Below are 18,028 nucleotides of genomic sequence, written 5' to 3'. Positions count from 1 at the left end.
TGGGTGTTTTGCTTCTTGATCTAACATTAAGGTTAGAAGTTGCAGGATTCCAGCAGGGTTTTGTCACATCCAATCTGGTTTAAGTTCCCATATTATTAGGAAAGCTTTAGGGTGCTTCAGGAAAACGCTTTTTAAAAAATCAAATTTGGAAAATATCAAATGGAATTACAGGCAATAAGCATAACCCAGTGGAAACATGAATCAAACCCTCTAGAGCAGGGTTGTCTAAATTTTGGCTTCCTTGGGCCACACTGGGAAAAAAAAAAAAGACACTTGTCTTGGGCCCAGCATAATATACACTAACTGCAACTGAACCGTGCGTGTAAAGCTTGTAAACAAAATCTGTCTGTAAAGTCTGTAAACAGGCCAGGCGCGGTGGCTCAGGCCTGTAATCCCAACATTTTGGGTGGCCGAGGCGGGCGGATAACTTGAGGTCAGGAGTTTAAGACCAGCCTGGCCAACATGGTAAAACCCTGTCTCTACCAAAAATTCAAAAAATTAGCCGGGCCTAATTTTTTAGTGGCCTGCGCTTGTAATCTCAGTTACCTAGGAGATCGAGTATTCTCTGGCTGAGGCAGGAGAATAGCTTGAAGGCAGGAGGCAGAGGTTGCAGTAAGCCATGCACTCCAGTGAACTGTTTGCTGTTAATAAATGTTTACAGTGGGCTCCCATAGGGAAAAGAAAAGCTTAGTTTTATTTCTATAGAACAAAAAAAAAAGTTAAGAGATTAGTAGAGACGGGTCCACCATATTTGACCACACTGACATCAAACTCCAGAGCTCGAGCGGTATTAACATAAAGTTATCAATGCATCTCACAGACTACTGAGATTACAAGCGTGAGAACCAACCACTACCTGACAAAATCTTTACTTTGAAAGTAAGTGACAGATGGGAACAAAGACCTGTTTATTAGTTTATACTAACGCGTTGTATATGCTTCCACAGCAAACAAAATCCACTTTTAAAACGACAGCAATCCAGGGGAAAGCACAAACAGTTCCCCACTGCCACAAATTATGTAGTCGAGATTCCCTCATTTGGGGAAATCACAGGGGTCAGCACATCCAGAGTAAAATTGCTAAGCCTTGCCCTGGAAAAACCACCTTCGTGATCATAACATTTCTTCTGCCAGATAAATATAAGTATAAGCTCACACCCCTCCGCCCCGCCGCAGCCTCATATTCCTCACCCTTTACACGCAAGGTCACTTGCGTCACGCGCATCCCGGAGCCATCCTAGCCCTAACACACAGCTGCGACTCTCCGGTCCGACCAGCGGTCCCAGACTTGCTCCCACGGCACGGGAACTCTTTCGTGGCAAAGCAGCAGCCCCTGCGCTGCCTCATCTACATAGAAATCGCCCTCTCCGTGATGTCACCGACAACGCCTTCCGGATCCCCGTCTGCTCTTCCGCCTCACCCAACGCCCCTCAGCGGACCTACCCGCTGTCGGAGCCGGCGGGGGAAGTGACTTATGCCTGTCCCTTCTTTCCCTCCTGTCCCCGCCCCTCGTCTGCCGCAATGAAGCGGGTACTTAATCTGTGTCCTGTGGAGGTCCCACTTGGCAGCCAGCTGGAAGCCCGTGCACCCTTCTTCAAATAATGGCTTTCAATGAGCAGACTAGGACGTTTAGGATTACAAAGGAAACCGATTCCTTTCAAACCTGGTTATCTTTATGATGTGGCACTGTGTGCATATCTTCGTTAAAACGCATTGAAGGCCACTGCACTCCACCCTGGGCGACAAGAGGTGACTGTGTCTCAAAAAAACCAAAAACACTCCCCCCTCACCCCAAAGCATTAGACGTCAAGGCTGGCAGGGATGTCTGTTCTCTTGAAAGTTCAATATCAAAATACTTGGAAATTAAACTAAAATAGTAGAAGCAAGAACAAAAATTAAGTTGAAGATAATGTCAAGAATATTTCCCACAAACCAAAATAATAATGTAAAAACAGGAGAGAAAAGTTCAGGAAGGTAGATGTCCAAGGTCCATACGATTAGCATGCGTATCAGAAAGAGGATAGAAAAAAATCAGTACAATAATTCAAAACACTTTCCATACCAATGGATTGAAACTACAGTGAATTTAAAGTATTGAATTGATATTGAACTTTCAAGAGAACAGACATCCCTGCCAGCCTTGACGTCTAATGCTTTGGGGTGAGGGGGGAGTGTTTTTGGTTTTTTTGAGACACAGTCACCTCTTGTCACCCAGGGTGGAGTGCAGTGGCCTTTAATGCATTTTAAGGAAGATATGCAAACAGTGCCACATCACAAAGATAATCAGGTTTGAAAGGAATCGGTTTCCTTTGCAATCCTAAACGTCCTAGTCTGCTCATTGAAAGCCATTATTTGAAGAAGGGTGCACGGGCTTCCAGCTGGCTGCCAAAGGGGACCTCCACAGGACACAGATTAAGTACCCGCTTCATTGCGGGAGACGAGGGGCGGGGACAGGAGGGAAAGAAGAGAGAGGCATAAGTCACTTCCCCGCTGGCTCTGGCAGAGGTTTGGTCCCCTGAGTGCTCCTTTCTTGTAAGCAGTTCTTGTTTCATATTTTCACTATCTCTGACACTGTTAACTGTACGATTTTTTTTCTTCTGTACACAAAAAAAAGTTTGTTTCAATAGTGAACTATGAGCCAGGGTGGTGGCTTATGCCTATAATCCCAGCACTTTGGGAGGCCAAGGCGGGCAGATCACCTGAGGTTAGGAGTTCAAGATCAGTCTGGCCAACATAGTGAAACCCTGTCTCTACTAAAAATACAAAAATTAGCCAGATGTGGTGGTGGGCACCTGTAATCCCAGCTATTTGGGAGGCTGAGGCAGCAGAATTGCTTGAACACAGGAGGCGGTGGTTGCAGTGAGCTGAGATTGCGCCACTGCACTCCAGACTGGGCAACAGAGCAAGACTCCATCTCAAAAAAAAAAAAAAAAAAAAAGTGAAGTATGTACCTTCTACAGTATACTCTTCCAACTTAACAGATTCTGTCATTGACATACGATGTTGCATCAATACTTGTGTAAGGGGTTTAACACTACTACTATATATAATAGATGTAATATATTTTATATATATATGTATATATATATATATAACACTAAGGTTTATTAAAACAACTCTCAGTAAACAGATGCCCCTGATGTTCCAACAAAATAACCTACTATTATTAGAAACCAAATAAACTCCTCCTCCTATGAGAAAGAAAGTAAACAACTTCTGGCTTGGCGCGGTGGCTCACGCCTGTAATCCCAGCACTTTGGGAGGCTGAAGCAGGTGCTCATGATCACCTGAGTTTAGGAGTTCAAGACCAGCCTGGCCAACATGGTGAAACCCTGTCTCTATTAAAAATACAAAAATTACAGCGCGCCTATAATCTCAGCTACTCGGGAGGCTGAGGCAGGAGAATCGCTTGAACCTGGGGGGCAGAGGTTGCAGTGAGCCGAGATCACCCCACTGCACTGCAGCCTGGGCAACAGAGCAAAACTCCATCTGAAAAAAAAAAGTAAACAATTCTGGAACAGTTTGAAAAAGCAATTTAAGTGAAAATGACACCAAAAAGGGTAAAAAGAAAAAGGAGGGAATAGTAGGAAATAACCTATATGTGATTATCTATTTTCAATTCTAAGTGGCTTGGTATAGGTTTAGGCAGGCTACCTGGAAAGAAAGAAATAAAGAAGCAGAATGTACTGAGCCACCCCCTCCACCTTCCTTCTTTCCCTTTCACCCAGTGGCCAGGCATCTATCGGTGGGGGCCCCCTCATCTACCCCTTCCCCACTCCACAAAGAAATTTAGTTTAAGCTAGCTTGCAACATAGATAATTGTACCCTTTCTTATCAGCTAAGTGCAGCCACTAGAGCCGTAAGTCAAATGTTTGAAAAATCCTGAGAGTCATAATGCATCGTGTGCTGCAATAAAATGCAGCAGAAAGACCCTAAAGAATGTACTTGAAGAACAATCAATAGGTGATGTCTAGGAAGATTGTGGAAGGCTAGTACTCAGCCTATGAGGAACTGAGGGAGGGACCTGTGCACTAGGGCGTAAATTGCTTGTTGAAACTGTGCTGGGTGTGCCTGCATGCCAGACACCCGATCTTGCAAGACCGTCATTAAAAGTCTCACTTTCGCTGTTCTCTGGGTCTCTGAGTTCATTGTTTGGGTTTAGACAGGTGAATTTGTTTCTCACAAATTTGATTGGATTGAAGGATGAAAGTATTGATCCTGGGCGTATCTGTGAGGGTGTTGCCAAAGGAGATTAACATTTGAGTCAATGGGCTGGGGAAAGCAGACCCACCCTAAATCTGGTGGGCACAATATAATCCACTGCCCATGAATATAAAGCAGGCAGAAAATCATGAAAAGGCCAGACTGGCCTATCCTGCCAGCCTACGTCTTTCTCCTGTGCTGGATGCTTCCTGCCCTGGAACATCAGACTCCAAGTTCTTCAGTTTTGAGACTTGAACTGACTTTCCTGCTCCTTAAGCTTGCAGACAGCCTATTGCAGGACATTGTGATTGTGTAAGTTAATACTTAATAAACTCCTGGCCAGGTGTGGTGGTTCACACCTGTAATCCCAGCTCTCAGAGACGCAGAGGCGGGAGGATAGCTTGAGCCCAGGAGTTGGAGACCTGCCTGGGCAATATAACAAGACCCTGTTTTCCACAAAAAGTAAGAAAAAAAAAGACAAAAAAAGTAAGTGTAATACTTAATAAACTACTTTGTATATCTATCCTATTAATTCTGTCTGTCTAGAGAACCCTGACTAATACAGAGTCACATAAAAATATGAGCCTCAGGCCGGGCACAGTGGGTCACACCTGTAATCCCAGCACTTCGGGAGGCCAAAGCGGGTGGATCCTGATCACCTGAGGTTAGGAGTTCGAGACCAGCCTGACCAACATGGAGAAACCCCATCTCTACTAAAAATACACAATTAACCAGTTGTGGTGGCACATGCCTGTAATCCCAGCTACTCGGAAGGCTGAGGCAGGAGAATCACTTGAACCTGGGAGGCAGAGGTTGCGGTGAGCTGAGATCACGCCATTGCACTCCAGCCTGGGCAACAAAAGCAAAACTTTGTCTCAAAAAAAAAAAAAAAAGCCTCAAAGAAGGCCGTATGGTTGAAGTTTATGTGCAGCACAAAAAGGACTAACTAGGCTTGGAGTTCTTAGGGGGTGGTGGCCACAGGTTATGGGAGGTTGAGGGGAGGAAAGACATGGTGAGCAAAGGCTGTGTTGTGATGCAGATGTGATGCAGATGAAGTCTCTCAAGAAGTAGCCCTCCACCAGATGTGGTGGCTCATGCCTGTAATCCCAGCACTTTGGGAGGCTGAGGTGGGCAGATTATTTGAGGTCAGGAGTTCAAGACCAGCCTGGCCAACATGGCAAACCCCATCTCTACTAAAAATACAGGCCGGGCTCGGTGGCTCATGCCTATAATCCCAGCACTTTGGGAGGCAAAGGCAGGTGGATCATGAGGTCAAGAGATCGAGACCATCCTGGCTAACACAGTGAAACCCCGTCTCTACTAAAAATACAAAAAAATTAGCCAGGCGTGGTGGCGGGCACCTGTAGTCCCAGCTACTAGGGAGGCTGAGGCAGGAGAATGGCATGAACCTGGGAGGCAGAGCTTGCAGTGAGCTGAGATGGCACCACTGCACTCCAGCCTGGGTGAAAGAACAAGACTCTGTCTAAAATAAATAAATAAATAAATAAATAAATAAATAAATAAATATATAAATAATAAATTAATTAATTAACCTGGTGTGGTGGTGGGCACCTGTAATCCCAGCTGCTCGGGAGGCTGAGGCATGAGAATGGCTTGAACCTGGGAGGCAGAGGTTGCAGTGAGCCAAGATTGCACCACTGCACACTCCAGCCTGGGTGTCAGAGTAAGACCCCGTTTCAAAAAAAAAAAGTTTCTCTGTCAGACGTTTAAAAGCATGAGATCTTTTGTTTCCTTTTCCTGTGAGTTAATCTTACCTGGATCCGGATAAAGCAGATAAGAAGGTCTCAGAGAAAGCCATTTGCAGTTGATGTTTACTTCCTCTACACATGCTAATCTCCCTGACAAAAGGACAGCTTTTCATAGGTATTTCTGTGACTGTGTTACCTATTGCACTGCCTACATGACTTACCTGGACCCCTACCCAGATGTTGTTGGCCATTGCAGTGCATATGTGTCATGGCTGAATTCTTACTCACCTTTAACTCTGCTTATTTTTAAGAAACAGGATGTCTGTGGTCAGAAGTTTCTTCTTGGGACTAAACCAGCTGAAGCTGGTGAAATCCATGATGGCAGCTTATGCAACCTCTGAAAAACATCTAGCTTTATTATAATCCAATTTCCATGCTAAATAGCACTCCCATCAGTGCATGACAGTTGACAATCACTGTGACAATGAACGAAAGAGACCAAGAAAGGACAGAAATGAGGTGACTCCTTGATTCTAGGAAAATCTCCATCCCTTCCTAAGAAAAGCATGAATATTCCTCACCTTGCTCATTCCCTTCATTAAAGATCCTCTATATTTGTAACTTCCTGGTTCTCAGTAGCCGAGAAGGTGATTTGCAAGCTATACTACTTCTCCAATTCCATGCTATGCTCCTACTTCTCCAATGCCATTGAATAGAGCCTGCACTGCTTGACACTCACTCTTGGTTTCATACATTGGCTTTGCAATAATAAACAGGAAAGAGTCCCTTTTTGGGCTGAGACCCCTCAGTAACATCTGCAGCCCCTCTAAATAGCCATCTCAAATTATACCAAAGGAGTGTATTTTGGGGTGGCATATTTTGGGCTTCCCACATGGCTAAGCCAACATATAGCATTCTTGCTGAACGCAGGGTGATCAGACATCACCTAGCAGATGGTGAAGGATGAGGAGCCCTATTAGATATTATGAGTGATCAGCTATTGAAGATGGGGAATTCTGGCTAAATTGACTGAGAAGGATTCTTGCTGAGATTGAACAATGCAGAGAGGAACACAGAAGCTCAATAGTTGAGGCCTAGTGAGAAGAGGACTCAGAAGAGCCTGATTAGAGTTTGGCCAAGGAGATGTCAACCTGAAATAAATGAAAGGTTCAGAATTCAGTGTTAAAATGTTTATTCATTCTGCTTGTGGGAACTAATGGTAAAAATTAAAAAAGAGTTTATTCAAACAAAAATCTGGGAATAGCCAATCAGGGCACACAGACTCCAGAGAAATGGGGTCAGTGCTGCAAAGTCAAAAGTGAAGTTCTTGCTTACATAGAAAGAAAAAAAAATTAATAGGATCACAACATTTTCTATATAAGGCTGCTTTAAGAGTTACAACAAATTAATTAGTTGCAGAATTTTTTGTTTTTTTGTGTTTTTTTTTTTTTTTGTTGTTGTTGTTCTGAGATGGAGTCTCACTCTGTTGCTAAGGCTGGAGTGCAATGGCATGATCTTGGCTCACTGCAACCTCTGCCTCTTGGTTTCAAGTGATTCTCCTGTCTCAGCCTCCTGAATATCTGGGATTACAGGTGCCCACCACCATGCCCAGGTAATTTTTTGTATTTTTACTAGAGATGGGATTTTACCATGTGAACCAGGCTGGTCTCAAACTCCTGACCTCAAGTGATCCACCCACCTCAGCCTCCCAAAGTGCTGGGATTACAGGCATGAGCCCCACTGTGCCCAACCTTTTTCTCTTTCCATACTACTTGTTTTCTTTCTTTATAGCTGGCTCACATTTCCTTTCCAATTTAAAGGAGTGTATTTAACATTGCATCTTAAGACAATGCAATAGCCATGAAGTCTTTATGAGAGCAAGGTAAGAAGGAAGTTAATCTATAATGAAAGTCAGCAGTGAAGAGGGAAGCAATCTTCCCTGGCACCCTTCAATAATTTATATGACATGTTAGAAAACAATGCGTGTGGCTGGGTGCAGTGGCTCATGCCTGTAATCCCAGCACTTTGGGAGGCTGAGGCAGGTGGATCATGAGGTCAGGAGATGGAGACCATCCTGGCTAACATGGTGAAACCCCGTCTCTACTAAAATACAAAAAATTACCTGGGCATGGTGGTGTGCGCCTATAGTCCCAGCTACTCGGGAGGCTGAGGCAAGAGAATGGCATGAACCCAGGAGGCTAAGGTTGCAGTGAGCCGAGATCATGCCACTGCACTCCAGCCTGGCCCACAGAGCAAGACTCCATCTCAAAAAAAAAAAAAAAAAATGTATGTAAGGAAGAAGGCCAATCTATAATCAGAGAAACAAAGGTTAAAACTGCCTAGTTTACAGGTGCCTCTCATGTGACTTAGGCTCCATACCCACATTTTCTTTTTTCTTTTTTTTTTTTTTTTTGAGACAGAGTTTTACTCTTGTTGCCCAGGCTGGAGTGCAATGGTGCGATCTCAGCTCACTGCAACTTCTGCCTCCCAGGTTCAAGTGATTCTCCTGCCTCAGCCTCCCGAGTAGCTGGGATTACAGGCATGCGCCACCACACCCGGTTAATTTTGTATTTTTAGTAGGGATGGGCTTTCTCCATGTTAGTCAGGCTGGTCTCAAACTCCTGATCTCACGTGATCTGCCTGCCTTGGGCCTCCCAAAGTACTGGGATTACAGGTGTGAGCCATGGTGCCTGGCCCATACTCAGATTTTTTAAAGGCTCAAAGTAATTTGGAATTCCAACAACTTACATTTTAAATTACTTATTTTCACAGAAAGAATCTTTGTCAGTTGTCACTCACTTATTTCTCCAAAGACTATAGTCCTGTCCAGTGATCCTCTCCAAGACAATAGCTCTCTCTAGTAACTATAGTTTTCCTTTCCCATTTCAATTTCCACTCCAATTGACTGAATTGTGAACACCAACTCCCACACTTAAATGTTGAAGCCCTAACCCCCAGTGTGATGGTTTATGCAGCTGGGGCCTCTGAGAGGTAATCAGGTTTAAAAGAGGTTATGAGAGTGGGGTCCTTATGCTGAGATTAATGCCATTATAAGAAGAGACACTAGAAAGCTTGCTCATCCGCCTTCCCCATGGTGCACAAAGAAATGGTCACATGGGCACACAGTGAAACTACAGCCACTTACAGGCTGTAGGAAGAGATCTTAGAAAGAAATCCGCTTTGCTAGCACCTTTATCTTGGACTTCCCAACTTCTAGAAGTGTGAGAAACACATTTCTATAGTTTAGGCCACTTGGTATATGGTATTTTGTTATGGCAACCTGAACAGACTTATACAACAATTCAGTCCTAGAGGCAATACAACTTCTCTGATGATTCCAGATTCTGAGTGCCTCTCAGTCCTTTCTTGCGTTATTTTGATCCTGTCCATATATTTATAAATATTCTCTTCATAAAACTCTCTGTAGGCCGGGTGCAGTGGCGCATGCCTGCAATCCCAGCACTTTGGGAGGCCGAGGCAGGCAGATCATGAGGTCAAGAGATCGAGACCATCCTGGCCAACACAGTGAAACCCCGTCTCTACTAAAAATACAAAAAATTAGCCAGGTGTGGTGGCGGGCGCCTGTAGTCCCAGCTACTCCGGAGGCTGAGGCAGGAGAATGGCGTGAACCCAGGAGTCGGAGCTTGCAGTGAGCCGAGATCATGCCACTGCACTCCAGCCTGGGGGACAGAGCGAGACTCCATCTCAAAAAAAAAAAAAACTCTCTTTAAATCACACATTCGAGTGTGCCCTTTGTTTCTCATCAAAGCCAAGACTGATTTGAGATGATTTCTTAAGGTCAGGTTAATGTCTTAATCCAGTTGTGCTGCTATAACAAAATACCACAGAGTGAGTAACTTATAAACAACAAAAATTTATTGCTCACAGTTATGGAGGATGGTCAGTCTAAGATCAAGTTGCCAGCAGGTTCAGTGTCTAGTGAAGGCCCATTCCTCTGTCACCCAGGCTGAAGTGCAGTGTTGCAAGCTTGGGTCACTGCAACCTTCACCTCCCAGGCTCAAGTAATCCTCCCACCTCAGCCTCCTGGGTAGCTGGGACTACAGGCACCCGCCACCACGTCGGGCTAATTTTTTGTATTTTTAGTAGAGATGGGGTTTTACCGTGTTAGCCAGGATGGTCTCGATTTCCTGATCTCGTGATCCGCCCGCCTCGGCCTCGCAAAGTGCTGGGATTACAGGCGTGAGCCACCGCACCCGGCCAAAAAAGCCTAATTCTTACCAGATGGTACCGTGCAGTTCCAGACTGTTGGTGTCCCAAAGAAGTGTACATGACACACACAAAGCAGCAAAGCAAAGCAAAAGTTTATTAAGCACAGTAACACTCTCGGAGTGGGGAGAGTGGGCTGACCTCTGGGAGATGAGATCAGTATTAGTTTGGTGTACATTGGGTCTTTTGATGTGTGGTTTTTTTTCTTCACAAGGATGCCTAATCTTTTTTTTTTTTTTTTGAGACAGAGTCTTGCTCTGTCACCCAGGCTGGAGTGCAGTGGCACAATCCTGGCTCACCGCAAGCTCTGCCTACCGGGTTCAAACCATTCTCCTGCGTCAGCCTCCCCAGCAGCTGGGACTACAGGCGCCCGCCACCACGCCCGGCTAATTTTTTTGTATTTTTAGTAGAGACGGGGTTTCACCGTGTTAGCCAGGGTGGTCTCGATCTCCTGACCTCATGATCTGCCCACCTCAGCCTTGCAAAGTGCTGGGATTACAGGCCTGAGCCACCGTGCCAGGCCAAGAATGCCTAATCTTTAGCCAGGGTTTGCCATTTGATTGATAGGTGGGTTGCTTAGTTACTTTGGCCCTTGTGTGCTTGAATGTTGCCTCTATCCCATAATTTTAAGTACATGCATGATATGCAGTCCATATGCATGAGCTTTAATGAGCTGATTATCATATGAAGTCATGTTAAGGATACTTTTTCTCTCTAATGCACATGCCTATCTCTGAAGAGCTGCCCCTTTATTGGTTTGGATCTTGCTGGCCATGGGGTCCTTGCTTGCTTGTTTTATTTTTTTTTTTTAAGACAGGGTCTTGCTCTGTTGCCCAGTCTTGAGTGCAGTGGCATGATCTTGGCTCACTGCAACCTCTGCCTCCTGGGTTCAAGCAATTCTCCTGTCTCAGCCTCCTGAGTAGCTGGGAGCACAGGAGTGCACCACCATGCCCAGCTATTTTTTTCTTTTTGTATTTTTAGTAGAGAAGGGGTTTCACTATGTTGGTCAGGCTGGTCTCGAACTCCTGACCTCAGGCGATCCACCTGCCTTGGCCTCCCAAACTGCTGGCATTACAGATGTGAGCAGCTGCACCTGGCCTTGCTTGCTTTTTTTAATCTTACTTTTTGTTTTGGTTGCTTAGTTTATGCCTTTTATCTTGCTTCTTGCTCTCCCACCCCATCACCTTACTTCTGTTTCTGCTTTTACTCATTCTGCCTTTTATCCAACTTCCAACTCCCTCTGCTGTTCTCCTGCCTCATAACCGCGGTTAGTGAGGGAGGGGTTTTAAGGGGGCATGTCCAGCCTTCTATCCTGCCACAGCCAGAAACAGCTTTCAAGGTTTCTCTGCGGTCCTGTCAGCCAAGAGGGAGTCTGTTCAGTTGGCTGTAGGGCCTAGGGCTTATTTTTATTTCTCAATCCTGACAAGGGAAGGCTAGATTAATGCAGATTCTCTGTAGGTGTAAATTTCCCCTATAAAAGACAGTTTTGCAGAGTTACTTCTGTTGCTGGCTCTCTGACGGCCATCTTAAAATATGCCAAAGAAATATATTCTGGGGTAAAATATTTTGATTTTTTCATCTATCTAGCTTCATCATGCTGACAGCCTCCAGTTGAAGCATACCTGAAGCCTTTCTTTGTAAAAAGCTTTCCCACTTCTCTGACTGCCTTCAAGTCTCTGCCAAAACACAAGTAACAGTGGCTGACTCCCTGCTATAGCAAGCTCAGAATAAATAGCCTTTACTTTTTTTCATTTGGTTGGTCTTCGTTTATTTGCAGAAACTTCAATGTAGAGTTGACAAGGACTCCATCTTTGACCAAACCTTAGTCAGTTTCCTCTGAGCCCTTTTCTCTATTAGTTCTTGGCCTGCCAAGTCCAGTTTTAGAAAAGAATACTGTTGAGCCTAGTTTAGCAAGAGTCCTCCCAACCACCTTTGATAGTTAATCAAGTTCCTCTTAGTAATTTTCCATCCACTGACTTTCTTACCTTGCCGATTGGCTATAAATCTTCAACCCTTCTTGCTGTATTTGGAGTTGAGCTCGGTTCTCTGCTGGTCTCTCTTGCCTACTGTAGTACATACAATAAAATCCGCCTCATGCTTTTAACAAGTGTCAGGGTAGTCCCTCTGAAACTACTTTTGCAAAATTATGACAATCAGAGAAATCTGACATGGCTGACTCCATTTTGGTTCTAGCCTCACAGGCTAGCTGTCTTTGCTCATTCCTGCACAATTTCTCCCAAGCTATTTTTGGGAAAAATTGAGTTTATAGTTCAAATCAGGGGTCCCAAACCCCCAGGGCCACAAGACAGGTATTGGTCCATGGCCTGTTAGGAACCCAGCCAAACGGCAGGAGGTGAGCTGCAGGCTTTCGAGCATTACCACCTGAGCTCTGCCTCTTGTCAGATCAGCATCAGCATTAGATGCTCATATTAGCTTGAACCCTATTGGGAACTATGCGTGTGAGGGATCCAGATTGTGCACTCCTTATGAGACTCTAACTAATGCCTGATGACCTGAAGTGGAACGGTTTCATCCGGAAACTATCCACCACCCCCTTCCATGGAAAAACTGTCTTCCATGAAGCCAGTCCCTGGTGCCAAAAACACTGGGGACAGCCAAAAAGTTTGGTTAAAATGATAACCTTCCCCAAAGCTAAATTACCCCTGTAAAACTAATGAAAGGCCACCAAGTTAGGAGGATGAAAGGGACCTGAATTCTACTAAGATGTATGCCTCATTAAATAATCACCAGCCATTATTCCAGAGGTCACAAGATTTGCAGCTTCCCCAGTTACTGCTGTGAAGAACATCACTATTGTAGAACCTAAGATTGGCCTCTTGAGATGTCTTTTCAGGCTTTTGCATTTCTGACTACTGGATGGCACCATTTGGCCCGAAAATCAATCAGTCCCTTAGCTCCCACCCAGAAGCTGACTCAATGCAGGAGGGCCATTTTCCACACCCCTGTGATTTCATCCCCAACAATCAGCACCGCCCAAGCCCTAGCCCCCTCCCCACCAAACTGTCTTTGAAAAAACCCTTACCTCCAAGCCTTCAGTGAGATTGATTTGAGTAATAACTCTGTCCCCTACATGTCATGGCTAGCCTGTGTCAGTTAAACTCTTTACTGCAATGCCATGGTCTCCGTGAATTGATTTTGTGTGTACAGTGGGCAGGAAGAACCCATCAGGTGGTTACATCTGCAGGATGGTGCCAGTTCTTTCCACAAAGGCTGGTCAGATACCCAGAAAGTATTTCTCCACTACTACCTGGACAATGTGTCTCCCAGTCAGTCTACAGGGAATGGGGTCTGGATCAAGTATTTCACATTCAGCAGTTACTACGCTGTCACCTAATCCCTCATTTTCAATATTTTGCCATGTCTTCCAGTGGCCTAACTGGCCACCATGCCACAGAATCTTTACTTTGTGGTCTCCAAAGAAGAATTCTCCATTTGATGTTTTGTGATTTGAGCAATGGAATAGAATCTGATACTGGTGGGCTGGGGGAGGTCCCCGGACACTGGTAGGATCTCGACCCCAGCTGTGGTGTCCAGGCTCTTGACACCATCTCAAGAATGAGGTCAAGGATGAGTTAGCAAATAGTGAAAGAAGAGATTTATTGCAAAGCAGAAAGTACACACTCAAGAAAGGGGAGTTTGGGCATACCTGAGAGAGAACAATGGGTTCTGGGGTTTCATCTCAATGGGTTTCTTTAACCAAGGAGTGGAATATTGATGAAAATTCCTGGGTAAAGGTGGAGATTTCTCAGAACTGTGGTGCCATCCATTTTTACATCAAATATTGGTCTCAGAACTGTCATGGCACTGGTGGGTGTGTGATTTAGTATGTTAATAAGCGTATAATGAGGGCCTAGGTAAAACCTACGTCAAATCCAGCACCACATTGGGTCCAGTCAGTCTTAGCCAGCTTGGTCCACACCCTGGTTTTTCAGCATCTTATCAGCCCATAGCCTCAAGTCATGTAAATCTGCTGCCTAGAATTTGTTATCCTGTGACCACCCTGTATTATTCCTGTCTCAAATCTACTTGTAAATATTCAAATGGTCTTTGACTTGGGAATTCCAACTTTGCTTACTTCACAGTGTTTCCTGCATTATAATCCCATATAAGAAAAGATGATCCAGACATTTGTTAAGCATCACAAATAAGATGTATCCCAGGTATTTTTGTCAAATTTGGATTATTTTGGTTTTGTCTTTGCAGAATATAAAAAACTAACACGAGGTAAGCAATAAGGTCTGGAGATGGCTGTGCAAAAGATGACAAAGTGCAACACCACATTTGAGAGTGTCCAATCATTTCTTCTGTGGCAGCATATTTTTCCACAATACTGAATTTGGAAAAAAATAAAAATAAAAATAAAAAAAACTACAAGATTCATTAAACTTGACAACTGTTTTTATAACATTACCAGTGATAAAATCAGTAAGGAAGGCTGGTTTGCAGTCATCTGAGAAGCCTCTTTACTTTCATAAATATGGTTTCTCTGTGACATTGAACGGCTTCCAATTTCAAGCGGAATGCTACATTACAAGGATAAGTATGTGAAGAAAACCGGTTTCTTTTGTAGTCCTAAACGTTCTAGTCTGCGAAATAAAAGTCATTATGTGAAGAAGAGTACCCAGGCTCCATCTGGCCACCGAAAGTTTGCTTCACAAGATAGGCTAAGGACCAGCTTCTTTGGGCGAAAACAGATGCCGGGGCGGGAGGGAAAAAGGGAGAGGCAGACGTCACTTCCTCTTGCTGGTTCAGGCAGCGGGTTGGTCGGCTGACTGGCAGAAAGGCAGATGGGGCCTGGGAAAGGCACTGTCGGTGACATCACGGATAGGGCGACTTCTATGTAGATGAGGCAGCGCAGGAGCTGCTGCTTCCCCACCTGCTGCTTCGCCTCGAAGGAGTTCCCGAGCCTTGGGAGCGGGCTCAGGACCGCTGGTCCGGCCGGAGAGTCCCAGCTGTGTGTCAGGGCTAGGAGGGCTGGGGGGTGCGCGGGGCAAGCGACCGTGCGTGTAAAGGGTGAGGCGTACGGGGCGGAGGTGCAGGAGCTCATATTTACTTGGCAGGGGAGATAACATGATCACGAAGGTGGTTTTCCCAGGGCGAGGCTTATCCATTGCACTCCAGATGTGTTGACCCCTGCGATTTCCCCAAATGTGGGAAACTCGATTGCATAATTTGTGGTAGTGGTACTGCGTTCGCGCTTTCCCCTGATTTTTTGTAGTTTCAAGAATACGCTGTACTCTAAGGGCTACTTTTTTCTTTCATTGATTTGTGTCTTGGACGTGTTATTCTTACAGTGGAAGGCTGGGAAATAGGAATTAAGATGTCGCTTCTCCCACTGAGGAGAAATAGGGAGCGTCAGCCTTAACACAAACAAACTAGCGCGAAGGCCGTACAGCTCTTCCCTTTCTACGCAGGGCTGCTTTTTGCAGAGATTGGTCCATGGTCTCCAGTGTCTTGGGTTCTCACGCTCTGTGAAAATCTTCGTGGTTTTCTCTAGCCCCCAGAGTCACCTTTTACACAGCCCCTGCTTCTAACCGCAGCCCCCTCAGGAGTTTGTAGGATTTCTGTGCTAGCGGGGAATGTGTTCTCACCTCATAGAGCCAGGTACAAACTACGCAGACAGGCGCTGTTCTTTGGGATGAAAGCAGGGCCTTTGGGGCTCTTAGTGTCCCCGTTCATTTGCAGACATAACACGCTTACTTTGTGTAGGGGAATGGCTTTCCCGGAGCCCAGGTGCCCTAATGCAATTCGTGGAGGCCCGCAGGTCAGAACCGCAGTCTTACTTGTCTTGGCTGAAATGCGCTGCGATCCTCCCTGAAATATAAGGCAGGAAGTTTTATGAGCAGCGGGGTCCAGTTTCCCTATTATCTCCTGCTGTTTACATATCTAGTCTTTCTTCAGACTTTATTTAAATGACAACTTCTTGTTTGATGTCTCGCTTCCATATCCTACATCCATTGCCAGGCAACTTTTTAGATAGCACCCCGACCCATCCTTCCCACCCCCAAGCAGCCCTTTCCTACTTCTGGCGCCAGTGTCCTTCCCGGTCCGTCTTTCTTCAGGCCCTCCCTTATCACCTTCATGGACAGAAAATACTTAGCTCTCTTTCAACCTGCAGTTTGCACCTGACACGCGTCAGTACCCTGGCAAATTCCTTAATACCCCTTCTCAAATGGCACTGTAAATTCATCTCTTTTTAACTCCCAGAAGTATCTAATTGGTCTTGTCCCTGCATTGCATGAATACTAGTATTCCACTACAAAAGAAAACCCCAGGCCTAGAGATGGCGGTTCTGGGCATTGTGCCAGCATTTCCCAGGGTATGTTTTCTGACCTCACCTACTTCTGATCAACTGAGGTCAGGAGTTCGAGACCAGCCTGACCAACATGACGAAACTCCGTCTCTACTAAAAATACAAAAAAAAAAAAAAAAAAAAAAAAAGCAAAAAAAGCAAAAAAAGCTGGATGTGGTGGTGTGTGTCTGTAATCCTAACTACTGGGGAGGCTGAGGCAGGAAAATCGCTTGAACCCAGGAGGCAGAGGTTGCAGTGAGCTGAGATCATGCCATTGCACCTCAGCCTGAGCGACAGAGCGAGACTCTGTCTCAAAACAAAACAAAACAAAACAACAAAAAAAAACTAGGCCATCTGAGACATATTATTGGAGACAGTAGAATCCTGCATCCAACAGGCACTTGGTGCAGATCTGAACCCACTGAATTATTGGCTCATGTTCCGTCTGTTTTATTAAGTATCATGAGCAGAAATTGAGCTCTTTGGCTTTTACACACTAAGTATGGCTATAGGACAGGTCTCTCTCTCTCTCTCTCTCTCATTATTGTGTCATTATTTTTTGCCATCAGTGTGGGCTTTTGGTTTTGATGTTATGAAGTGAATTTGTATGGACAATTTCTGTTGGGTGGTGTTGACAAGGATCCAATCCCTGTTTGGTAATACATGACAGCTAATCTGCTCTGTGAGACTTTTTTTATTGTCTATTTATTGTCCTGAGAATAATGGTATTTCCTGATATTTGAGACTGCAGCAATGATAAGTTGTTCATATCTTGTCTTTCCAATGTTTGGTAAAAATTTTATGGGCCCAATAGTTGTCAATATCTGCAAGAGTGGCATCCCTGTTACAAGAGTGATCTTACTACTCAATGTCCCCCCTCCCATCAAACTTCGTTCCATAGGAAGTCTTGGCTTTAACAAATTTACTATATCTAAAAGACATCTTAGTACAGGAAGAAAACCAAATCTGTAGCATGTAAGGAGCAGTTTTCTTTGATTGGTATATTCAGGTTTCTAACCAGCTGAAAAATTCAAATACATGTCCTTTAAGGATTAAGTTTAAACCACACTACAGAAAGGAGAGAAAAGATTTATATGATCACATATAAGCAATGGAATCAGCAATATGAGCACTTTTCACAACTATACAAATCTAATTTAATAATCTCCAGAACATTAAGAAAGGTATTGTCGGTGACATCATCGATAGGGCATTTCTATGTAGATGAGGTAGCACAGGGCTGCTTCTTCACCATGGAGGATTTCCCGTGCTGTAGGAGCAAGTCCAGGACTGCTGGGTGGACGTGAGAGTCCCAGCTGTGTGTTAGGGCTAGGAGGGCTCAGGGTGGTTGGGGATTGGTGGGGGTGGTTCTCAGAGCAAGTGACCATGCGTGTAAAGGTGAGGCGTATGGAGCTGTGGTGGGGCAGAGGTATGTGGACTGCCACTTACCTGGTAGGGGAAATCCTATGGTCACCAATAGTGGTTCATCCTAAGGTTGAGGCTCATCCATTGCACTCCAGATGTGCTGTTCTCTGTTATCTCCCCTAATGTGTGAAGCTCAGCTGCATAACTGAGC

General features: G+C 44.9%; 2 non-coding genes and 3 pseudogenes across 6 annotated transcripts in view, besides 5 other annotated features; 2 read left to right on the top strand and 3 right to left on the bottom strand.

Moving 5' to 3' along the window:
* PDE4DIPP6 (PDE4DIP pseudogene 6) overlaps positions 1 to 1,351 on the bottom strand; it is a 30,041-nt pseudogene extending 28,690 nt beyond the window's left edge. For all 4 annotated transcript variants that reach the window (NR_168364.1, NR_168363.1, NR_168362.1 and 1 more), the window contains exon 1: positions 1,192 to 1,351. The product of NR_168364.1 is annotated as a PDE4DIP pseudogene 6, transcript variant 4 (transcript). The remainder of the gene's footprint in view (positions 1 to 1,191) is intronic.
* RNVU1-3 (RNA, variant U1 small nuclear 3) lies at positions 982 to 1,142 on the bottom strand. The gene has a single exon (NR_104081.1). It is a non-coding gene; the product is annotated as an RNA, variant U1 small nuclear 3 (small nuclear RNA).
* Positions 1,137 to 1,842: an enhancer, noted in NCBI's record as "NANOG-H3K27ac hESC enhancer chr1:143686659-143687364 (GRCh37/hg19 assembly coordinates)". NCBI's record gives its function as "activates a minimal SCP1, AML or CMV promoter by ChIP-STARR-seq in naive H9 embryonic stem cells {active_cell/tissue: H9 hESC(naive)}" and the evidence as "EXISTENCE:reporter gene assay evidence [ECO:0000049][PMID:30033119]".
* Positions 1,142 to 1,191: an enhancer, noted in NCBI's record as "active region_1646". NCBI's record gives its function as "activates an Ori minimal core promoter by ATAC-STARR-seq in GM12878 lymphoblastoid cells {active_cell/tissue: GM12878}" and the evidence as "EXISTENCE:reporter gene assay evidence [ECO:0000049][PMID:35858748]".
* Positions 1,202 to 1,251: an enhancer, noted in NCBI's record as "active region_1645". NCBI's record gives its function as "activates an Ori minimal core promoter by ATAC-STARR-seq in GM12878 lymphoblastoid cells {active_cell/tissue: GM12878}" and the evidence as "EXISTENCE:reporter gene assay evidence [ECO:0000049][PMID:35858748]".
* Positions 1,282 to 1,511: an enhancer, noted in NCBI's record as "active region_1644". NCBI's record gives its function as "activates an Ori minimal core promoter by ATAC-STARR-seq in GM12878 lymphoblastoid cells {active_cell/tissue: GM12878}" and the evidence as "EXISTENCE:reporter gene assay evidence [ECO:0000049][PMID:35858748]".
* On the top strand, positions 15,206 to 15,367 carry RNVU1-2 (RNA, variant U1 small nuclear 2; annotated as a pseudogene).
* Positions 15,433 to 16,272: an enhancer, noted in NCBI's record as "H3K27ac hESC enhancer chr1:143672224-143673063 (GRCh37/hg19 assembly coordinates)". NCBI's record gives its function as "activates a minimal SCP1, AML or CMV promoter by ChIP-STARR-seq in primed H9 embryonic stem cells {active_cell/tissue: H9 hESC(primed)}" and the evidence as "EXISTENCE:reporter gene assay evidence [ECO:0000049][PMID:30033119]".
* On the bottom strand, positions 15,494 to 15,575 carry MIR6077 (microRNA 6077). The gene has a single exon (NR_106967.1). It is a non-coding gene; the product is annotated as a microRNA 6077 (primary transcript).
* On the top strand, positions 17,894 to 18,028 carry RNU1-155P (RNA, U1 small nuclear 155 pseudogene; annotated as a pseudogene).

This window comes from Homo sapiens, chromosome 1, assembly GCF_000001405.40.
Source record: "Homo sapiens chromosome 1, GRCh38.p14 Primary Assembly".
NCBI lineage: Eukaryota > Metazoa > Chordata > Mammalia > Primates > Hominidae > Homo > Homo sapiens.
This window is presented reverse-complemented; position numbering and strand designations above follow the sequence as displayed.